Source organism: Homo sapiens, chromosome 14 (genome assembly GCF_000001405.40).
Source record: "Homo sapiens chromosome 14, GRCh38.p14 Primary Assembly".
Lineage (NCBI taxonomy): Eukaryota > Metazoa > Chordata > Mammalia > Primates > Hominidae > Homo > Homo sapiens.
In genome coordinates, this window is record NC_000014.9 from 34685876 (window position 1) to 34706156 (window position 20281).

The following is a 20281-nucleotide window of genomic DNA, read 5'->3' on the forward strand; positions in this document are numbered from 1 at the left end:
CCGGTCTGAGGGATTATGGACAATCTCTTTGAGAAAATGATCCTGGGCTTGAGATCTGAGTGAAATGTAGGAGTTAGCTGAGCAAAGAGGCTGCATAAGAGCATTGTCGGCAGTGGGAACAGTGAGTGCAAAGGTCCTGTGCCAGGAAACAGCACAAGGCATTTGAGGAACAGTCAGTGTTGCTATAGCAGCTGTAGCCCAGAAAGCAAGAGGGTATAGGAGCTGGGAGGCAGAAGGAGTTCCGGATTAGCCCCTGCAGACCTCATTGAAGATCTTGATCTTTATGCTAAAACGCAAAGCAATTGAAGGATTGTAAACAGGATGAGCTCTGAGCTTGGGAAAGATTTCTCTGCCTACAGTGTGGAGAACAAGCAGGAGGTGGGCAAGACTATAAGAACCGTAACAGCCCTGGTGAGAGATGACAGCAGCCCGGACCAGGGGGATGAAAAAAGTAAAAAGTCTGAGATATGCTGGAGGATAAAATTTTGAGGACCGGTGATCAGTGGCTAAGGAAGGGTGAGAGTGAGGAAGAAGGAGGTGGCAGGATGCTAACTGGTTTCTGGCTTGCAGGACTAGAGACAGTCTCTGCATCAGGAATACTGGCAGAGAAGCAAGTTTGGAGGAGGGGGTCCAATCATGAAGCTGGGTTAGAAAATCTTTTTTTTTTAGACAGTCTCGCTCTGTTGCCCAGGCTGGAGTGCAGTGGTGCGATCTCCATTTACTGCAACCTCTGCCTACCGAGTTCAAGTGATTCTCATGCCTCAGCCTCTCAAGTAGCTGGGATTACAGGCATGTGCTAACACGCCTGGCTAATTTTTAGTATTTTTAGTAGAAACAGGGTTTTGCCATGTTGGCCAGGCTGGTCTTGAACTCCTGGCCTCAAGGCTGGTCTCGAACTCCTGGCCTCAATCCCAAAGTACTAGGATTACAGGTGTGAGCCACCATGCCTCGTCCAGTTTTTACAATCTTGTTTGTTTGTTTTGAAATGGAGTCTTGCTCTGTCCCCCAGGCTGGAGGGCAGTGGTGAAATCTTGGGTCATTGCAACCTCTGCCTCCCAAGTTCAAGTGATTCTCCTGCCTCAGCCTCCTGAGTAGCTAGGACTACAGGCATGTGCCACCATACCGGGCTAATTTTTGTATTTTTAGTAGAGACGGAGTTTTGCCATGTTGCTCAGGCTGGTCTTGAACTCCTGACCTCAGGTGATCCACCCACCTTGGCCTCCCAAAGTGCTGGGATTATAGGTGTGAGCCACTGTGCCTGGCCTCAATCTTGGTTTAATTAAAAATTAGAAATGTAGGAGTTAGGCCAGGTGCGGAGGCTCACGCCTGTAATCCCAGCACTTTGAGAGGCCGAGGCAGGTGGATCACCTGAGGTCAGCAGTTCAAGGCCAGCCTGTCCAACATGGTGAAACCTGGTCTCTACTAAAAATACAGAAATTAGCTGGGCGTGGTGGCGGGAGCCTGTAGTCCCAGCTACTCGGGAGGCTGAGGCAGGAGAATCGCTTGGACCCAGGAGGTGGAGGTTGTGGTGAGCCAAGATTGCGCAATTGCACTCCAGCCTGGTCAACAAGAGCAAAACTCTGTCTAAAAAAAAAAAAAGTAGGAGTTAATTTCCAAATATTTGTGAATTTCCTAAATTTCATTCTATTATTCTAATTTCACTCCAGCTGATCAGAGAACATTGTATGATTTCAATCTACTGATTCAAACCAGAAAAGAAAAGATAATTATTTAGTTAGTTAGTTTTCCCTTTAATCTTCCAGGTTGTAAACACGGCACATGGTGGTGGTAAATAAAAGGACCAAAGGGCAGTCCACAGATTAGTTTACTGGTCAAAGGGGAAAACACAACTTTGTAATGGGAGAGATCAGACTGTGACCATTTGACTGCACTGATCAATCTTGGCCTCACTGTCAGTGGAGCAACCAGATATTTTGTGCACCTGATGTGATTCAGTAAGAAGGACACAGCATAAGCTATAAAATTTCTTACCAAAATTGTGTAACCTGAATCTAAGCAACCGTTTAGATCTAACTACCAGCTTATAGGAAATACAAGAAATAGAGGAACAGAGGCAGGCCATCACAAGGAAACCATCAGACAAATCCAGAAGGTAGGACATTCTACAGGACAAACTGACTTAGTTTCTTCATCAAGTCAATGGCATTAAGAAAAAGTGTGTGTGTGGGGGCGCTGGGGGTATTTAAGATTGTTCTAGATTATAAGAGACTTAAGAATAAAAAACAAACAGTGTGTGGACTTTGCTGGACTCTAGTTTGAACATACAAGCTGTAAAATGACATTATGGAGACAATTGGGAAAATTTAAATATAGATTAGGTATTAGATTAGATTAAGAAATTGTTAATTTTGCTAGAAGTGATAATGGTCTCTTTCTGATGCACAGCCAGGGTTCAGAATGTCTGGTCTGAATCTAGTAGGACTCAGGCAGCACAACTGGGTGTTTGCAAGACCAAAAGTATTCATAATCTCACTAGATTTATTTCAGCAATGGGGAGAAAACCTCTGCTACAGGAATATCTCTGGATAAGAAGTGGCTGCTAAAGGTCTGATGCCTGAAAATTATGATTGGCAGGTTTGGAATTCATAAAAATTCCAGTAAGCCCAACAGCTTCTTGTAAGCATGTGGATTTCACGGGAGTGAAAGTTGTTCTGGGGACCCCAAGGATCTAAAGTTATGGTTGATTATTTTCAAAAATCAGTGAAAAGTAGAGTAATGAGCTGCCATACTTTTCACCTGCTCAATATCACTGTCCAGAAAGAAACTGACCCTTTCTGTTGGTGTTTTGGTAAAACTTCAGCACTGGTCAGTTCACTTACACAGTTCCTTCCTTATGTCCAGGCACTCAGTGGGAGGGATGTGAAAAAGTCTGCATTAGCACATGAGATTTTAAATTTTGCTTTAGAATAGGTTTGTTTGCATATGTGTGAGCTGAAGTTCCTGCTACCTTGAAATAAAAAACAGTTGTGATGGTTGGACTCTTTTTTTCCCCCTGCTAATTTATCTATTCATAGAATATATTTTGCCCTTCCTAATTATCTCACCCTAGTAAAATCAACCAGCAATTGAACCCCTGAATCATCACAGTTTGGATGGCCACTTTCCTAGTTCCACTGACCTTGGTCCAGGAACACTGCGGACAGGGAGGTTCATGAATCTAATTCAGTTTTCACTTCTCTTATCTTGATGTAGAGATAAGAGCTCCAGATCCTATATTTCTAAGTATTGAGGAAAGGAGGAGAGGACGGAATTTATGTTATTGAGTAGCCATTATTGGCCAAGGATTATACTATTTTACCTATGTTCATTCATTCAATTGGGGACAAATGTAATTTAGTAGTTAAGAGTGCTGGCTCTAAAAAATGAAATCAGAGAGAGAAATGGGGATGTGAATCTGAAAATATGTCAAAAATTATTGACTTTAAATGGAGAGATACAGGTACTCTGTACCATTCTTTCAGCTTTTGAAAATTTTCATAATAAAAATAATGTCCTCAAACAGTTAAACAGGCCAGGCACGGTGGCTCACACCTGTAATCCCAGCACTTGGGGAGGTCAAGGTGGGAAACTCACTTGAGCCTAGGAGTTGGAAGCTGCAGGGAGCTATGATTGTACCTCTGTACTCCAGTCTGGGTGACAGAGCAAGACCCTGTCTCTTAAAAAAAAGTTAAACATAATTATCATATTACTAGCATATGACAGATAGGTACATATATTTTTAAGAAAAATGAAAACATACAACCACACAAACAAACTTGTACACAAAGATTCATAACAGCATTGTTTATGTATTTATGTATTTATTTATTTTGAGACAGAGTCTCAAAATAAACAGAGTGGTTTCGGCTCACTGCAACCTCCACCTCCTGGGTTCAAGTGATTTTCCTGCCTCAGCCTCCCGAGTAGCTGGGATTACAGGCACACACCACCACACCTGGCTAATTTTTTGTATCTTTAGTAGAGACAGGGTTTCACTATGTTGGCCAGACTGGTCTTGAACTCCTGACCTCATGATCCACCCTCCTTGGCCTCCCAAAGTGCTGGGATTACAGGTGTAATTGCACCACCGTGCCCGGCCGTATTTATTTTTTAACATTTAAAAGAGACAACGGGCTGGGTGCAGTGGCTCATGCCTGTAATCCCAGCACTTTGGGAGGCTGAGGTGGGTGGATCACCTGAGGTCAGGAGTTTGAAACCAGCCTGGCCAACATGGTGAAACCCCATCTCTACTAAAAATACTAAAAATAGCCGGGCATGGTGGGGCACATCTGTAGCCCCAGCTACTTGGGAGGCTGAGGCATGGAGAATTGCTTGAACCCGAGAGGCAGAGGTTGCAGTGAGCCGAGATCATGCCATTGCACTCCAGCTTGGGCAATAGAGTGGGAATCCGTCTCAAAAAACAAAAAACAAAACAAAAAACAACAAAAAAAAGTTGATTTAAAAAACCCCACAAATAAACAAAAAAAACAGTGGCACCATCTCAGCTCACTACAGCTTCAACTTCCTGGCCTCAAGCAATCCTCCCACCTCAGCCTCTCCAAGTAGCTTGGACTACAGGTGCACGCCACCATCCTCAGCTAACTTTTTAACTTTTTGTAGAGACGGGGTCTCTGTATGTTCCCCAGGCTGGTCCCCAACTCCTGGGATCAAGTGATCTTCTAGAGTCTGCCTCTTGAATTGCTGGGATTACAGCTGTAAGCCACGGCAGCCAATGTGTCAATTTTTTAAAAGGCTATTATTGATTATCCAACAACCCTAGAGGTAGTACTATTTCTGTTTTCAGACGAGGACTCTGGCACCCAGAAAAGTTGACACTTTGTCCAAGGTCATGCACCTAGTATAAAGCAGGAGCAAGCATTCTTTTTTTTTTTGAGACAGAGTCTCGCTCTGTTGCCCAGGCTAGAGTGCAGTGGGGCGATCTCGGCTCACTGCAAGCTCCACCTCCTGGGTTCACGCCATTCTCCTGCCTCAGCCTCCCTAGTAGCTGGGACTACAGGCACCTGCCACCGCCCGGCTAATTTTTTTGTATTTTTAGTAGAGACGGGGTTTCACTGTGTTAGCCAGAATGGTCTCGATCTCCTGACCTCGTGATACACCCGTCTCGGCCTCCCAAAATGCTGGAATTACAGGCGTGAGCCACCGCACCCGGCCAAGCAGGAACAAGCATTCTAATAACACATCTGACTGCAAAAGCCAGGCTTTTCTACCATGTAATTTTGCCTGCCGGTGTAGACATGTCTTTTGTGGTATAATAAGCCTTCATAGAAGGTGCTCTAAGAATTAAGCAACTGCATGTGAGAAATCAATATGTTACAAAAATACACTTTTAATGTGACATAGCCTTTTATGCCAAAGTGATATTTATTTAATATTCCCCCAATTTCTCTAGCTTGATCATTTGCTACAAAGGGGATCAATAAGATCCCAATTTGTCTTTGTGAAAAGTAAATGAAGTGGACTTTCCCTCTATTCATGTGGTATTTCTAAATGGCCTTGAGCTATTTACAGTCAAGTTAATGGAATTAATACTATACCATCAAAAACATACAGCGTCCTTATCTAAAGTGCAGCACGAACACTTTCCTCTTTGTGGTATGGCCATTGACATATACAGATGTTCCTCCATTTACGATGGTGTTATGTTCAGATAAACCCATCATAAATTGAAAATATCGTAAGTCAAAAACTTTCAATTTATGATGGATTTATCTGGATGCAATACCATCATAAATCTAGAAGAGTTCTGAATGCATGTCATTTTCACCATCGTAAAAGTTGAAAAATCGTTTAGTCAAACCATGGTTAAATTTTGACCATCTGCATTTCGTTTCTTCTCCGAAAGCTCTTTTAGGGCAGTTGAGGATGCTACATAATGTATTCACCAAATTGTTTCTAAATGAATGGACAAATACATGCACACCACACACTTCAACAATCATCACCTCTAATGTGGCAATACATTTTTCTTTTCTTTTCTTTTCTTTTTTTTGAGACAGAATCTCGCTCTGTCACCCAGGCTGGAGTGCAGTGGCGCGATCTCAGCTCACTGCAACCTCCGCCTCCCAGGTTTAAGAGATTCTCCTGCCTTAGCCTCCAGAGTAGCTGGGATTACGGGCGTGCGCCGCCACCATGCGCAGCTATTTTTTGTAGAGATGGGGTTTCGCCATGTTGGCCAGGCTGGTCTCGAACTCCTGACCTCGTGATCTGCCCGCCTCGGCCTCCCAAAGTGCTGGGATTACAGGCGTGAGCCACCGCGCCCAGCCCAGAGTAAGTACTTTATGCTAAGGACCAGATGCAGAGTAAAGGTTGAGGTCTTCCTTACCCCAGAACAGGGCAAAAAAGCCAAAATAACCCTTATTGATTAAGCCATAAATTCAACCACCACTTATTTCCAAAAAGTATGAAAGTTAGCATTTAATCACCTTCCACCACCCCTTTCCCAAACCACACACACACACACACACACACCCCGCTGGGATTTTCCTGTTTTCCTGCTTCTTCTTTAAACCTGTTAAACAATGTCTGTTTAAGGTTAAAAATCTACTATAGGATGTGCTTTAGCTATGTAAGTGGTACACGCTGCAAAAAGTCTTCCAGTTGCTTTGGTTGAAAAAGTCCCTCTGAACACTTAAACATAGAAACCAATCCTGGCACATCTGACTGGATTTGAGTTTTATGTGTCCCTGGAGGGAAACCACACACTTGGAAGTCAGTGCTGTGTTTGGTACATACTAAGTATTCAACAAATGTTTTCCCAATGACTGAAATTGTCCACTTTTCTTTGACTCCTGATCGTGTTGCCTACACTGTATGTATGTACGTATGTATGTATGTATGTATGTATGTATGTATGTATGTATGTATTTACTTGAGACAGAGTCTCACTCTGTTGCCCCAATTTTCGTATTTATTGTAGAGATGGAGTTTTACCATGTTGCCCAGGCTGGTTTCGAACTCTTGAGCTCAAGCGATCCACTGCTTCAGCCTCCCAAAGTGCTAGGATTGCAGGCATGAGCCACCACGTCCAGCCATTGCTCACATTTTATGTCACCATTCTCATTTTTTCCAGGGACAGATTTGAGTTCCACTGCTTGGGCTAGGGGCAATGCTTTAGATGAGAAAAGAAGAGGGATGTTTGAAAATCAGTCCAGTTAGAGAAAGAAGAAAGTGAAGAGATTTATGAACCACTAGAGTTCTTTCATGCTAAAATATTTTACGCTAAAATATTAAGGTTTGAGCTCTGTGGAGGTAAATTCTCTTTCTTCTGTGGTTATGGTGATATGGAAGGAGAGTGCTGGCAAGGGAAGAGCTTGGTCCCTTTAAATGACACAGAAGAAGGGAAGGGAAGTGCTCCGAAGAGGAGGGCGTGGTCCCTGGCTAGGGCTCCACCCCCAGGGACCAAGGTGTAGTCAGGCATTTCCTGCCCAAATGTTGCATTTCTTAAGACCACCTGGGCCTGCCACGCCCTCATTCTGTGCCTATAAAAACCCGGGACCCTAGCAAGGCAGAGACAGAAGCAGCTGGAGCTGGAAAGGAGTACCTCGGTGGAGGAATACACAGGCAGCTGGACGTCTAGAGGAACGCACCGCCAGGCACCAGCATGCAGGCTGGCCACTGACCAGCAGAATAACGTGGAGTTTGGCTAGGGTAATCGAAGGAGCGCGTGTCTGATTCCAGGGGAAAACCAGCTCCCCCATCTGCTGAGAGCTACTTCAACTCAATAAAACCTTGCACTCATTCTCCAAGCCCACTTGTGATCCGATTCTTCCGGTACACCAAGGCAAGAACCTGGGATACAGAAAGCCCTCTGTCCTTGCCACAAGGTAGAGGGTAGAGGGTCTAATTGAGCTGGTTAACACAAGCTGCCTAGAGATAGCAAAACTAAAAGAGCAAAACTAAAAGAGCATCCTGTAACACACGCCCACTGGGGCTTCAGGAGCTGTAAATATTCACCCCTAGACACTGCTGTGGGGTCGGAGCCCCACAGCCTGCCCATCTGTAGGCTCCTCTAGAAGTCTGAGCATCGGAGCACTGAAGAAGCGAGCCACACCCCCACTGCACGCCCTGCAAGGGGGGACAAGGGAACTTGTCCCGTTTCAATGGCATGGTCCCAAACCTGATAGTCCTTTGTTAATGTATGCCCTCGAAGAGGGAAAGGAAGGTAAACCCAGAGGCAAATCCGTTACCAATTTTGAAAGAAAAACCTCAAAGTACAGTTCCTATTGAGCAAAGGTCAGTGATATAATTTTTGAAAACAGGACCCTTTTCACAAGATGGCGCCAAAAGCGAAAAAGGAAGCGCCTGCCCCTCCTAAAGCCGAAGCCGAAGCCAAAGCAAAGGCTTTAAAGGCGAAGACGGCAGTGTTGAAAGATGTCCACATCCACACAAAAAAAGAAGACCCGCACGTCACCCACCTTCCGGAGGCCCAGGACACTGCGACTCGAGGCCACCCAAATATCCTCGGAATAGCGCCCCCAGGAGAAACAAGCTTGACCGTTATGCCATCATCAAGTTTCTGTGGACCACTGAGTCCGCCATGAAGAAGATAGAAGACAACACCACACTTGTGTTCACGGTGGATGTTAAAGCCAACAAGCAGCAGATCAAACAGGCTGTGAAGAAGCTCTGTGACATTGATGCGGCCAAGGTCAACACCCTGATTCGGCCTGGTGGAGAGAAGAAGGCATATGTTTGACTGGCTCCTGATTACGATGTTTTGGATGTTGCCAAAAAATTGGTATCATCTAAATTGAGTCCAGCTGGCTAGTTCTAAATATACGTGTATCTTTTCACCATAAAAAAAATTTTTTTTTTGAAAACAGAGGGGAACACTTTAATGCACTCAAAGACTATGAAAAGATGATGGGCCTCCCAGATGATTTCTCCCTGAGAAATCTCTGCCTAGAGGCAAAATAAAGAGGCTAAGTAAGGCAGGATTTTCTACTGTAAAATCTAGAAACAGGACGTCTTCCTCCACCGTTCACATGAAAGTTCATTCATTTCTTCAAAAACCTTTTAATTTGAATGCCTTCTATGTACCAAAAACTATTTTAGGTGCTGGAGATCCAAATTAAGGGTTGAAAAGAATGCAAAGCATGAAGAACATTAGGAGATACGCAGAGAAAGTAGTCACCTGGCGTGGTGGCTCATGCCTGTAATCCCAGCACTTTGGGAGGCCAAGGTGGGAGGATCACTTGAGGTCAGGAGTTCAAGACCAGTCTTGCCAACATGGTGAAACACTGTCTCAAAGCTGGGCACAGTGGCTCATGCCTGTAATCCCAGCACTTTGAGAGGCCGAGGTGGGTGGATCACCTGAGGTCAGGAGTTCGAGACCAACCTGGCCAACATGGTGAAATCCCCATCTCTACTAAAAATACAACAAATTAGCCAGGCGTGTTGGCAGGCGCCTGTAATCCCAGCTGCTCGGGAGGCTGAGGCAGGAGAATCGCTTGAACCCAGGAGGCGGAGGTTGCAGTGAGCCAAGATTATGCCATTGCACTCCAGTCTGGGCAACAAAAGTGAAACTGTCTCAAAAAGAAAAAAAGAAAGAAACCCCAGCTCTACTAAAAATACAAAAATTAGCCGGGCATAGTGGTGCACACCTGTAGTCCCAGCTACTTGTGAGGCTGAAGCAGGAGAATTACTTTAATACAGGAGGTGGAGGTTTCAGTGAGCCGAGATTGTGCCACTGCATTCCAGCCTGGGCGACAGAGCAAAACACCATCTCAAAAAAAAAAAAAAAAGAAAAGAAAAGAAAAAAGAAACCTCTCTTCCTTCCAAGGCCCTGGAGAGTACCTGTTGCTCTCTCTTCCCTAACAGATAAGCTTATTGGCGGGGCGCGGTGGCTCATGCCTTCAATCCCAGGACTTTGGGAGGCCGAGGCGGGTGGATCACCTGAGGTCAGGAGTTCGAGACCAGCCTGGCCAACATGGTGAAACCCCATCTCTACTAAAAATACAAAAATTCTTCGGGAGGCCGAGGCGGGCGGATCACCTGAGGTCGGGAGTTCAAGACCAGCCTGACCAACATGGAGAAACCCCATCTCTACTAAAAATACAAAATTAGCCAGGTGTGGTGGCACGTGCCTGTAATCCCAGCTACCCAGGAGGCTGAGGCAGGAGAATCGCTTGAACCCGGGAGGCGGAGGTTGCAGTGAGCCAAGATTGCACCACTGCACTCCAGCCTGGGCGACAGAACAAGACTCCATCTCAAAACAAAACAAAGAAACCCAACAGATAAACTTCTTAAAATAAAACCTCTCCTACTGTACAGAGTTGACAATAAGCATTTAGAAACTTTTACAGCCATTTGACCTGGCCATGACATCCAAACCTGGAACCAGTGGACTTGTCAGGTTGAACAGACTATAGACCAATCTGGTTGTTGCCCAGCTCTAGGGATGCATTGCATCTGGTGCAAGCTGCATACTAGTCATGAACAGTAGGACCCTGTTGTCAATCTATGACAGATTGAAAATTAAATATGTGCTTCATCATAGACGTTTGAAAAGCACTGGTTTATACCACACTGTTCTGCTTCATCTCTTATTCAGTCTTCAAGCCATTTCCATTTGGTATCTGCCCTTCACCTGCTGAAAATGCCACAGGAAAGGTCACTGACCTTCATAGGGCCAAATTCAGTGTATTATTTTTTTGTCCCCATTATATGTGACATCTCTGCAGCATTTGGCACCCTCTGCTTTGTAACATCACAGAAGGTATGTTCTCCTCCTACCTCTTTGACAATTCTTTCCTTTTTCTAGGCTTCTCTTCCTTTGCCCACTCTTGGACTGTTTCTCTTCTTCTACGATACTCACAAATTTTTGCTGGGCGTCTTATTGATGCTCCATGGTTTTAACTGTATGCTACTGATTTCCAAGCTCTATTTCCAGGGTTATAAACTTGATGGTATGTTAATGTGCTTAAGACAAAATAAATCAGTTTAAAGGTGCTTTTTTTTTTCAAGATAAGCAGAGAATCAGTTTTTTTTTCATTTATCTATTTAAAAAGTGCTTATTTATTTTTTAAGAGAAGGGGTCTCACTCTGTCACCAACGCTGGAGAATAGTGTTGCACTAAGCAACACTATTTTTAATGTAAAAAATGTATATTATTCAAAAACATTACTCTGAAGAGGAGTTCGTAGTCTTTACCAGATGCCCAAAGAATCTTTGGAAAAAGGTTAGGAAGGCCTGTAGAAACTCATGCCTCCATGACAATACCCATGTGGAACACAGAGCTCCCAGTTGGTTTTTACTTTGGCCCTAGGCCTTCTCCCAAATGATTTAATGGAAGTGGTGATAAAAAGGCCCTTTTTGTTCTTGATATTAAGGAGATTCTTAGTGAAGAAAGCCTGTTGGAACATTTCAAATAACAATTCTAGGCTGGGCTCAGTGGCTCATGCCTGTAATGCCAGCTCTTTGGGAGGCCAAGGTGGGTGGATCACTTGAGGCCAGGAGTTCAAGACCAGCCTGGCCAACATGGCAAAACTCTGTCTCTACTAAAAATACAAAAATCAGCTGGGCGTGGTGGTGCACGCCTGTGGTCCCAGCTACTTGGGACGGTGAGGCATGAGAATCGCTTGAACCTGGGGGACAGAGTTTGCAATGAACCAAGATGTAGCCACTGCACTCCAGCCTGGGGGACAGAGTGAGACTCTGTCTCAATAAATAAATAAGTAAATAAATAAATACTCGATATTTGAAGAGAAATGCCATTTATTTCCTCTAAGTGCTGTTTAACACTCACTTCTAGGCTGGGTGCGGTGGCTCATGCCTATAATCCCAGCACTTTGGGAGGCTGAGGTAGGAGGATTGCTTGAGCCCAGGAGTTCAAGACCAGCCTGGGCAACAAAGTGAGACCCCATCTCTAAAAAAATAAAATATAAAATTAGCCAGGCATAGTGGTGGACTTATAGTCCTAGCTACTCAGGAGGCTGAGGTGGGAGGATCACTTGATCCCAGTTTTAGGTTGCAGTGAGCTGTGATGGCACAACTACACTCTGGCCTGAGTGACAGAGCAAGACCCTGTTTCAAAAAATAAATAAATAATAAAATAAAACTCACTTCTAGAAAATCTTTTCTCTTTTGGATCCGTTTTTTTTCTTGCATTCCGTTACTGCTTATTCAATTGCTTATCACTGTATACTTATTAGTTTACAGGTCTATTTTGTCTCTGCAACTGGATTATAAAAGTGCCCTTGAGAAGTTTATTTCTCAGGATGACCAGGACAGTGTTCTACAAATAGACACTCAATAAATGGTTCCTGATGAGTGCAAGGCCTCTCAGAAAAGTGAACTTATTTATCATAAAAGCAAGATGAAAAAACAATATGGTTAATTACAAGGAGGTAAAAAAGAGGAATCTTTGATTCTGGATGGTACTTGCGAAAGGAATTGTGTATTTATAAACATTGTGTTGTAAACATTGTGTTTATAAATAGCTTGTATTTACTAGTGAGGATTAAAAATCATCTTTAATAGAACGTGATCTTTTAAATGACCTGAAAATTCCATTTTCTATCACCAGCGAAGAGTAGGCCAGGTTTTCTCTAACGAGCAGATTGTGTGATAAAAGAACATTGCTAAATTAATTTCTTTCTAAAATATTTGATACAGGGGCTGGGTGTGGCGGCTTGTGCCTGTAATCTCAGCACTTTGGGAGGCCAAGGCAGGTGGATTACTTGAGGTCAGAGTTCGAGACCAGCCTGGTCAATATGGTGAAACCCCGTCTCTACTAAAAATACAAAAATTAGCTGGGCATCATGGTGGATGCCTGTAATCTCACCTACTTGGAAGGCTGAGGGAGGAGAATCACTTGCATCTGGGAGATGGAGGTCGCAGTGAGCCAAGAGCAGGACACTGCACTCCAGCCTGGGTGACAGAGCAAGACTCCGTCTCAAAAAAAAAAAAAAAAAAATCAAGTTTCTGAAAATTCCACCAGATGGGGAAATGCTGACAATATGCTAGTTAAATTTAGTATTCATCTCAATGTAGAATCTGTATTAATCTCCATGATATTAAAAATGCATAAAAAAATTTGATAGAGGAATTTGGCCATGGCTTATATGTGGACAGACAAGTTTTACAGTAAAAGCAAAAGCATAGAATAACAGAAAATATAACCATGACTTTTTAAACTATAGGATATTCCATTTCAAAGATGCTATAGTTATGGTAGTTTTAAAAATTTCTTATCTATTGAAACCATTGTTACATGTTGCTGCAAAGCGGCTTACAAATCTAAATTCAGATACGACACATGATTTTCCTAGTCAATGATTTATTTCATGCTATCAAAATGTTATCTTCATTAAAAATGTTTTTAATGCCGGGCATGGTGGCTCACGCCTGTAATCCCAGCACTTTGGGAGGCCGAGGCGGGTGGATCATGAGGTCAGGAGATCGAGACCATCTTGGCTAACACGGTGAAACCCCGTCTCTACTAAAAATACAAAAAATTAGCCGGGTGCGGTGGCGGGCGCCTGTAATCCCAGCTACTCAGGAGGCTGAGGCAGGAGAATAGCATGAACCCGGGAGGTGGAGCTTGCAGTAAGCCGAGATAGCACCACTGCAGTCCAGCCTGGGCAAAAGAGCGAGACTCCATCTCAAAAAAAAAAAAATGTTTTTAATATATTTTTCTTTCCACATTTATAAATTTCCTGAGCCAATTCTGAAGCTTAAATGATCCTAAATGTCTACAATACTAAAAATATAGTCAATATTTTCCAAATAATTATTAAAGCTCTGCATTCTTTCATTTAATTTTGAAATTAATCAAGTCCTGTCATTTCTCCTACATACCTCTCAAATCCACCTACCCCAAATGTATTTGCCACTGCCTTGATTTAGGCATCTTAATCGCCTCCAATTTCTTTCTCCTTACACATATTCTTATCATGGTCATAAAACAATCAGGTTTGTGTTTCAGAAAGATCATACCACTCCTTTGCTTAAAACCCTGCACCAGCTCCTTAGCACAAAATTTCACATGGTATCCAATGCCCTCAATGATCTAGCTCATACCCACCTCTCCTGCACTTCTCTCATCACAGTGCCTCACGCTTGACTCAATAGCAGCTGTAATGAAACATTTGCAAGGCATCTGCGGTTTTTTTTTTTCTCTAGGACAATCCTTTCATACAGATTTCTGGTGAACTCTATCATCCTTTACAACCCAGCTCAAACATTACTTCTGGAAGGCCTTCTCCAAGCCCATTTCAACTCCAAAGTTAAGCACTCCCTCTTCTAAATCTAGTAGTAACATATGGTTGTATTTATCACATTGTATTACATCATAATTATTTGTTTATGTGCTTGCTTGCCTTCCCTATATCATGGAAAGCTTTTTGAGCCTAAGAAAGGTGCTTCGTGTTTGTTGAACTGAACTGAATTTGATCTAATGGTCTGAGCTGAGTAATTGGGAAACAGATGGGATGTTTCCAGAGTGATTCATAGTAGCCAGGATGATCATGTTTCTCCACAGCAAACATAAATCATGTTTCTTTAATCACAAGGATTACCAGACTTTGCTGGAATAGCAAACAAAATGCAAACTCTCTCTTAGTTAAATGAAGACTAAATATCCACGAGCTAATTAGTCAATGTATGATCTGCATAATTTGAGCCAAATTAGTAAATATCACTTTTTCATCAAATATAGATTGAGTGCTTCTGGCTTAGTGCAAAATGTATACATTATGTTTTATCTTACATCTTTATATGAAAGGGACAAAGTAGATTAGAGGATGGATTATTTACACTGTGCACCAGGAACTAGCAACTATTAAACTTTATCATACAAATACAAGGGGAAAAGTAGAATCCTGATATATTGGAAACTATTTATTTTGTAAAATAATTCCTTTGGGGAACAGTAAAAATCATGTCTATTATCAATTCCCAGTGTAACAAAAAACAAAAATGTCTATTATCAATTCCCAATGGCACAATAAACAGAAGAAAATTTTGTGGTTTCAGATCTTAATGGTAGATGGCACTAAGTCATGCAGCGAGCACTTAGGTAGGTGCAATGCATAATTTTCAAGATTCAAATCTGTTGTGACTAGAGCCACAACAGTTCTTTCTGGGATGAAAAATACCAAGGAATCTGCACAAACAATATTTGAGTAAAGTTTCCCTCTTACCAGCATATATTGATAACTTAAAACCAGTTTTAACTACAGGAATCTTCCTATTAGTCATAATAGCTTAACACAAGTAATTTGTAGTGTTTAAAGCTAACTCATGATTTAGCTTTCTTATTTGTTCTTTTCTATATTTTGCAGAGGTTCTCTATAAAACATGTTATTTTTGAAATAAAAATAAATACAATTTTCTGAGAGTTAGCCAGAAGAATATCATTCATATTACTTAATGATAGTAATCATATCAGTTAGCCCATTTTTAGGATGTTCTTATGAGAATATAATTTTTTTTTTTTTTTGAGATGGAGTCTCACTCTGTCACCCACGCTGGAGTGCACTGGCATGATCTCAGCTCACTGCAAGCTCCACCTCCCGGGTTCACCCCATTCTCCTGCCTCAGCCTCCTGAGTAGCTGGGACTACAGGCACCCGCCATCACGCCCAGCTAATTTTTTGTATTTTTTAGTAGATCTGTCTGCCTCGGCCTCCCAAAGTGCTGGGATTACAGGCGTGAGCCACCGCGCCCGGCCTAGGCTGTGTTTTTAACCCAAGGGTCATTTTCTTTTTTCTTTTTTTCTTTTTTTGAGACAGAGTCTCTCTCTGTCGCCCAGGCTGGAGTGCAATGGTGCAATCTCGGCTCAATGCAACCTCTGCCTCCTGGGTTCAAGCGATTCTCCCACCTCAGCCTCTTGAGTAGCTGGGATTACAGGCGTTCACCACCACGCCTGGCTAAGTTTTGTATTTTTAGTAGAGACGGGGTTTCACCATGTTGGCCAGGCTGGTCTCGAACTCCTGGCCTCAGGTGATCTGCCTGCCTTGGCCTTCCAAAGTGCTGGGATTACAGGTGTAAGACACCACGCCCGGCCCATTTTCTAGAATTCTATTTACTTATTTAATATATTGCAAAGAGGAAATCAGAAAGAAAGAAAACATCCAGCTCAGAACAGGAAGCTTTTTTGTTTGTTGTGGCAATGTTACTGAATGACACTTGCATTAATCCCAAAACATTTTTTTTCACAGCCAGAGCATGACACCTATCTAAATCAGTCACATGGTATTTCTTAAGAACTGCTATACTGTGATAAATATAATATAAAACAAAACATTTTTCTCTAGCAGGTAGATAAAAACAAAACAATGAAGTATTTAAATGCTTTCAAAATAAAAATAAACAGGATCTGCTTTGAAGTCAAAAAAATAAGGAGAGGGCCAAGCGCCGTGGCTTATGCCTGTAATCCCAGCACTTTGGGAGGCCGAGCTCAGTTGGTGGATCACTTGAGGTCAGGAGTTTGAAACCAGCCTGGCTGACATAGTGAAACCCCGTCTCTACTAAAAAATACAAAAAATTAGCTGGGCATGGTGGTGCGCGCCTGTAATCCCAGCTACTCAGGAAGGCCGAGGCAGGAGAATCACGTGAACCTGGGAGGTGGAGGTGGCAGTGAGCTGAGATCATGCGACTGCACTCCAGCAAGGCTCCATCTCAAAATAATAATAATAATAATTAATAATAATAATAATAATGAGATGGCCGGGTGTGGTGGCTCATGCCTGTAATCCCAGCACTTTGGGAGCCCCAGGTAGGTGGATTGCTTGAGGTCAGGAGTTCGAGACCAGCTTGGCCAATATGGTGAAACCCTGTCTCTACCAAAATACACAAAAATTAGGCAGGCGTGGTGGTGCGTGCCTGTAGTCCCACCTACTCGGGAGGTTGAGGTGGGAGAATTGTCTGAGCCCTTGGAAGCGAAGGTTGCAGTGAACCGAGATCACACTATTTTACTCCAGCAGCCTGGGTCACAGAGTGAGACTCCGTCTCAGAAAAAAAAAAAAAAAAAAAAAAATGCTGGGCGCGGTGGCTCATGCCTGTAATCTGAGCACTTTGGGAGGCTGAGGCGGGCAAATCATGAAGTCAGGAGTTCGAGACAAGCCTGGCCAACATGGTGAAACCCCATCTCTACTAAAAATACAAAAATTTAGCTGGGCATAGTGGTGGACACCTGTAATCCCAGCTACTCGGGAGGCTGAGGCAGAAGAATCGCTGAAACCCAGAGGGCGGAGGTTGCAGTGAGCTGAGATGGTGCCACTGTTCTCCAGCCAGGGGGACAGAGTTAGACTCCATCTCAAAAAAATAATAATAATAATAATGAGAGAAGTTTTGCAGTCAACTTCCTAATAATAAATAATTCTATTATGGCAAATATTGAAAGTAGACACATGACTCAATATATAATAGTATTTTTTAAAATTATTAATCAACAATTTTGTTTTCCTTTTAAGCCTAAAAAAAAGAAACCCAGGTACTTCTTTTGCTATTTAATTTTTTTTTTTTTAAGACAGTCTCACTCTGTTGCCCAGGGTGGAGTGCAGTGGCGCCATCAAGGCTCATGGCAACCTTCTGCCTCCCGGGTTCCAGCGATTCTTGTACCTCAGCCTCCCGAGTAGCTAGGATTACAGGTGAGCACCACTGTGCCTGGCTAATTTTTGTATTTTTAGTAGAGATGGGGTTTCGCCATGTTGGTCAGGCTGGTCTCAAACTCCTAGCCTCAAGTGATCCGCCTGCCTTGGCCTCCCAAAATGCTGGGATTACAAGCATGAGCCACTGTGCCTGGTCCCCAGGTACATTTTTAAATCTTTTTTTTTTTTTTTTTTTTTTTTTGAGACAGAGTCTTGCTCTATTGCCCAGGCTGGAGTGCAGTGGCGTGATCTCGGCTAACTGCAACGTCCGCCGCCTGGGTTCAAGAAACTCTCATGCCTAAGCCTCCTGAGTAACTGGGATTACAGGCGCGTGCCACCATACCCAGCTAATTTTTGTATTTTTAGTAGAGACGGTGTTTCACCATGTTGGCCAGGCTGGTCTTGAACTCCTGACCTCAAGTGATCCGCCCACCTAGGCCTCCCAAAGTGCTGGGATTACAGGCCTGAGCCACCGCACCCGGCCACATTTTAAAATCTCAATATAACCAGGCGCAGTGGCTCATGCCTATAATCCCAGCCCTTTGGGAGGCCTAGGTGGGTGTATTGCTTGAGCTTGGGAGTATAAGACCAGCCTAGGCAATATGGTGAAACCCCATCTCTATTAAAAAACAAAAAAACAAAAATAATAAAATCTGAATATATTTCAAATTAGGAAAATGGTTAACACCTGTTTTGTTAGCCTATTATCGCTTTCCCTCTCATGTATCTATATATTCCTTCGTAATATAATTGTCATCAATAAGCAGTCATGAGTAAAGGGAATCTCACTTTTTCTCTCCATGTTTGATCTATTACTGTTTTACATATAAAAGGTTAAAACATTAATCTTCACATAAAACTCTATTCCACTTATTTCATGAATCAGGACATAAGACACCTTTCGTATCATCTTATTTCTTGTGTGGTATAGTTAAGTTTTATGATTTCTGGAACAAAATACTCTGCTGCCATTTCTACCTTTTATATTTATTTATTATATTTATTTATTTATTTATTTTGAGACAGAGTCTCACTCTGTGGTCCAGGCTGGAGTGCAGTGGTGTGATCTCGGCTCCCTGCAACCTCCACCTCCCAAGTTTAAGCGATTCTCCTGCCTCAGCCTCCTGAGTAGCTGGGATTACAGGCACAAGCCACCACACCCAGCTAATTTTTGTATTTTTAGTAGACACGGGGTTTCGCCATGTTCACCAGGCTGGTCTCGAACTCCTGACCTCAGGTGATATACCTGTCTCCTGAGTAGCTGGAATTACAGGCATGAGCCACCACGCCTGGCCCAATTTCTACCTTTTATAAAATTAGGTCTAGGCCGGGCATGGTGGCTCACGCCTGTCACCCCAGCACTTTGGGAGGCCAAGGCGGGCGGATCACCTAAGGTCAGGAGTGGTGGCGTGCACCTGTCATCCCAGCTACTCGGGAGGCTGAGGCAGAAGAATCACTTGAACCTGGGAGGCAGAGGTTGCAGTGAGCCGAGATTGGGCCATTGCACTCCCACCTGGGCAACCAACAAGAGCGAAACTCCGTCTCAAATAAATAAATAAAAATTAAAAAAATAAAAATTAAAAGTAAAACTAGGTCTAATTATGCCAATTTGAGAACTGCCTTTCTCTTTGCCTGGTGATTTAGTTTGTAATTAAAAAAAAATAAAGTCCCCATCAGCTCACAGGAACACATATTAAGGAGGCTTTGGGCTACATACCCAAGAATTTTGTAATTCACTCAGTAACTATCAAGTTTCAAGGGAAATATTTGAAATTCCACTATTAAGAATAAAATGAGAGAAAATGTGCCCCAATAATATACCATTAACATAAGTGCTTTTTCACATGTAAGGGAAAAATGACTACTCATTTGAATGAAAATCTGTTTCAAATTTTTCTGTAATGCCAGATAAACTACTAAATTGCTATGTATGCATAATCAAATTAGCTGTCAGAAGTCAAGAGTAAATGAAAAATGTCTAGATAAAGGGTAATCAAAGCTGCTTCCTGGTGAACATGTCTAGAGTACATGTAAGAAAATCTAGGCTGGGCGAGGTGGCTCATGCCTGTAATCCCAGCACTTTGGGAGGCTGAGGTGGGCGGATCATTTGAGGTCAGGAGTTCGAGACCAGCTTGGCCAACATGGTGAAACCCCTTCTCTACTAAAAATACAAAAATTAGCTGGGCATGGTGGTGGGTTCCTGTAATCCCAGCTACGTGGGAGGCTGAGGCAGGAGAATTGCTTGAACCTGGGAGGCGGAGATTGCAGTGAGCTGAGATCGCGCCACTGCGCTCCAGCCTGGGCAATAGAGCAAGACTCGGTCTCAAAATAAATAAATAAAATTAATAAATAAAAATACAAAAATTAGCCAGGCGTGGTGGCGCACACTTGTAATCCCAGCTACTCCAGAGGCTGAGGCATGAGAGACGCTTGAACCTGGAAGTGGAGGTTGCAGTGAGCCAAGATCACATTATTGCACTCCAGCCTGGGCGACAGGGCGAGACTGTCTCAAAAAAAAAGAAAGGAAAAGAAAATCTAATAAACTAAACGAAAAAAATAAAGTCAACTGGCATTTTTTTTTTTTTTTTTGAAACAGGGTCTTGCTCTGTCACCCAGGCTGGAGTGCAATGGCACAATCTGGCTCTCCTGGGCTCAAGTGATCCTCCT

General features: G+C 43.0%; 1 long non-coding RNA gene and 1 pseudogene across 1 annotated transcript; one reads left to right on the top strand and one right to left on the bottom strand.

Annotated features, from left to right (window-relative positions):
• Positions 1 to 7008: 7008 nt before the first annotated feature.
• On the bottom strand, positions 7009 to 15465 carry LOC107984628 (uncharacterized). Its single transcript, XR_001750947.2, has 3 exons — positions 14048 to 15465; positions 8436 to 8687; positions 7009 to 7129 (listed from the first exon to the last, which is right to left on the bottom strand). It is a non-coding gene; the product is annotated as an uncharacterized LOC107984628 (long non-coding RNA).
• RPL23AP8 (ribosomal protein L23a pseudogene 8) lies at positions 8280 to 8818 on the top strand (annotated as a pseudogene).
• Positions 15466 to 20281: the final 4816 nt, after the last annotated feature.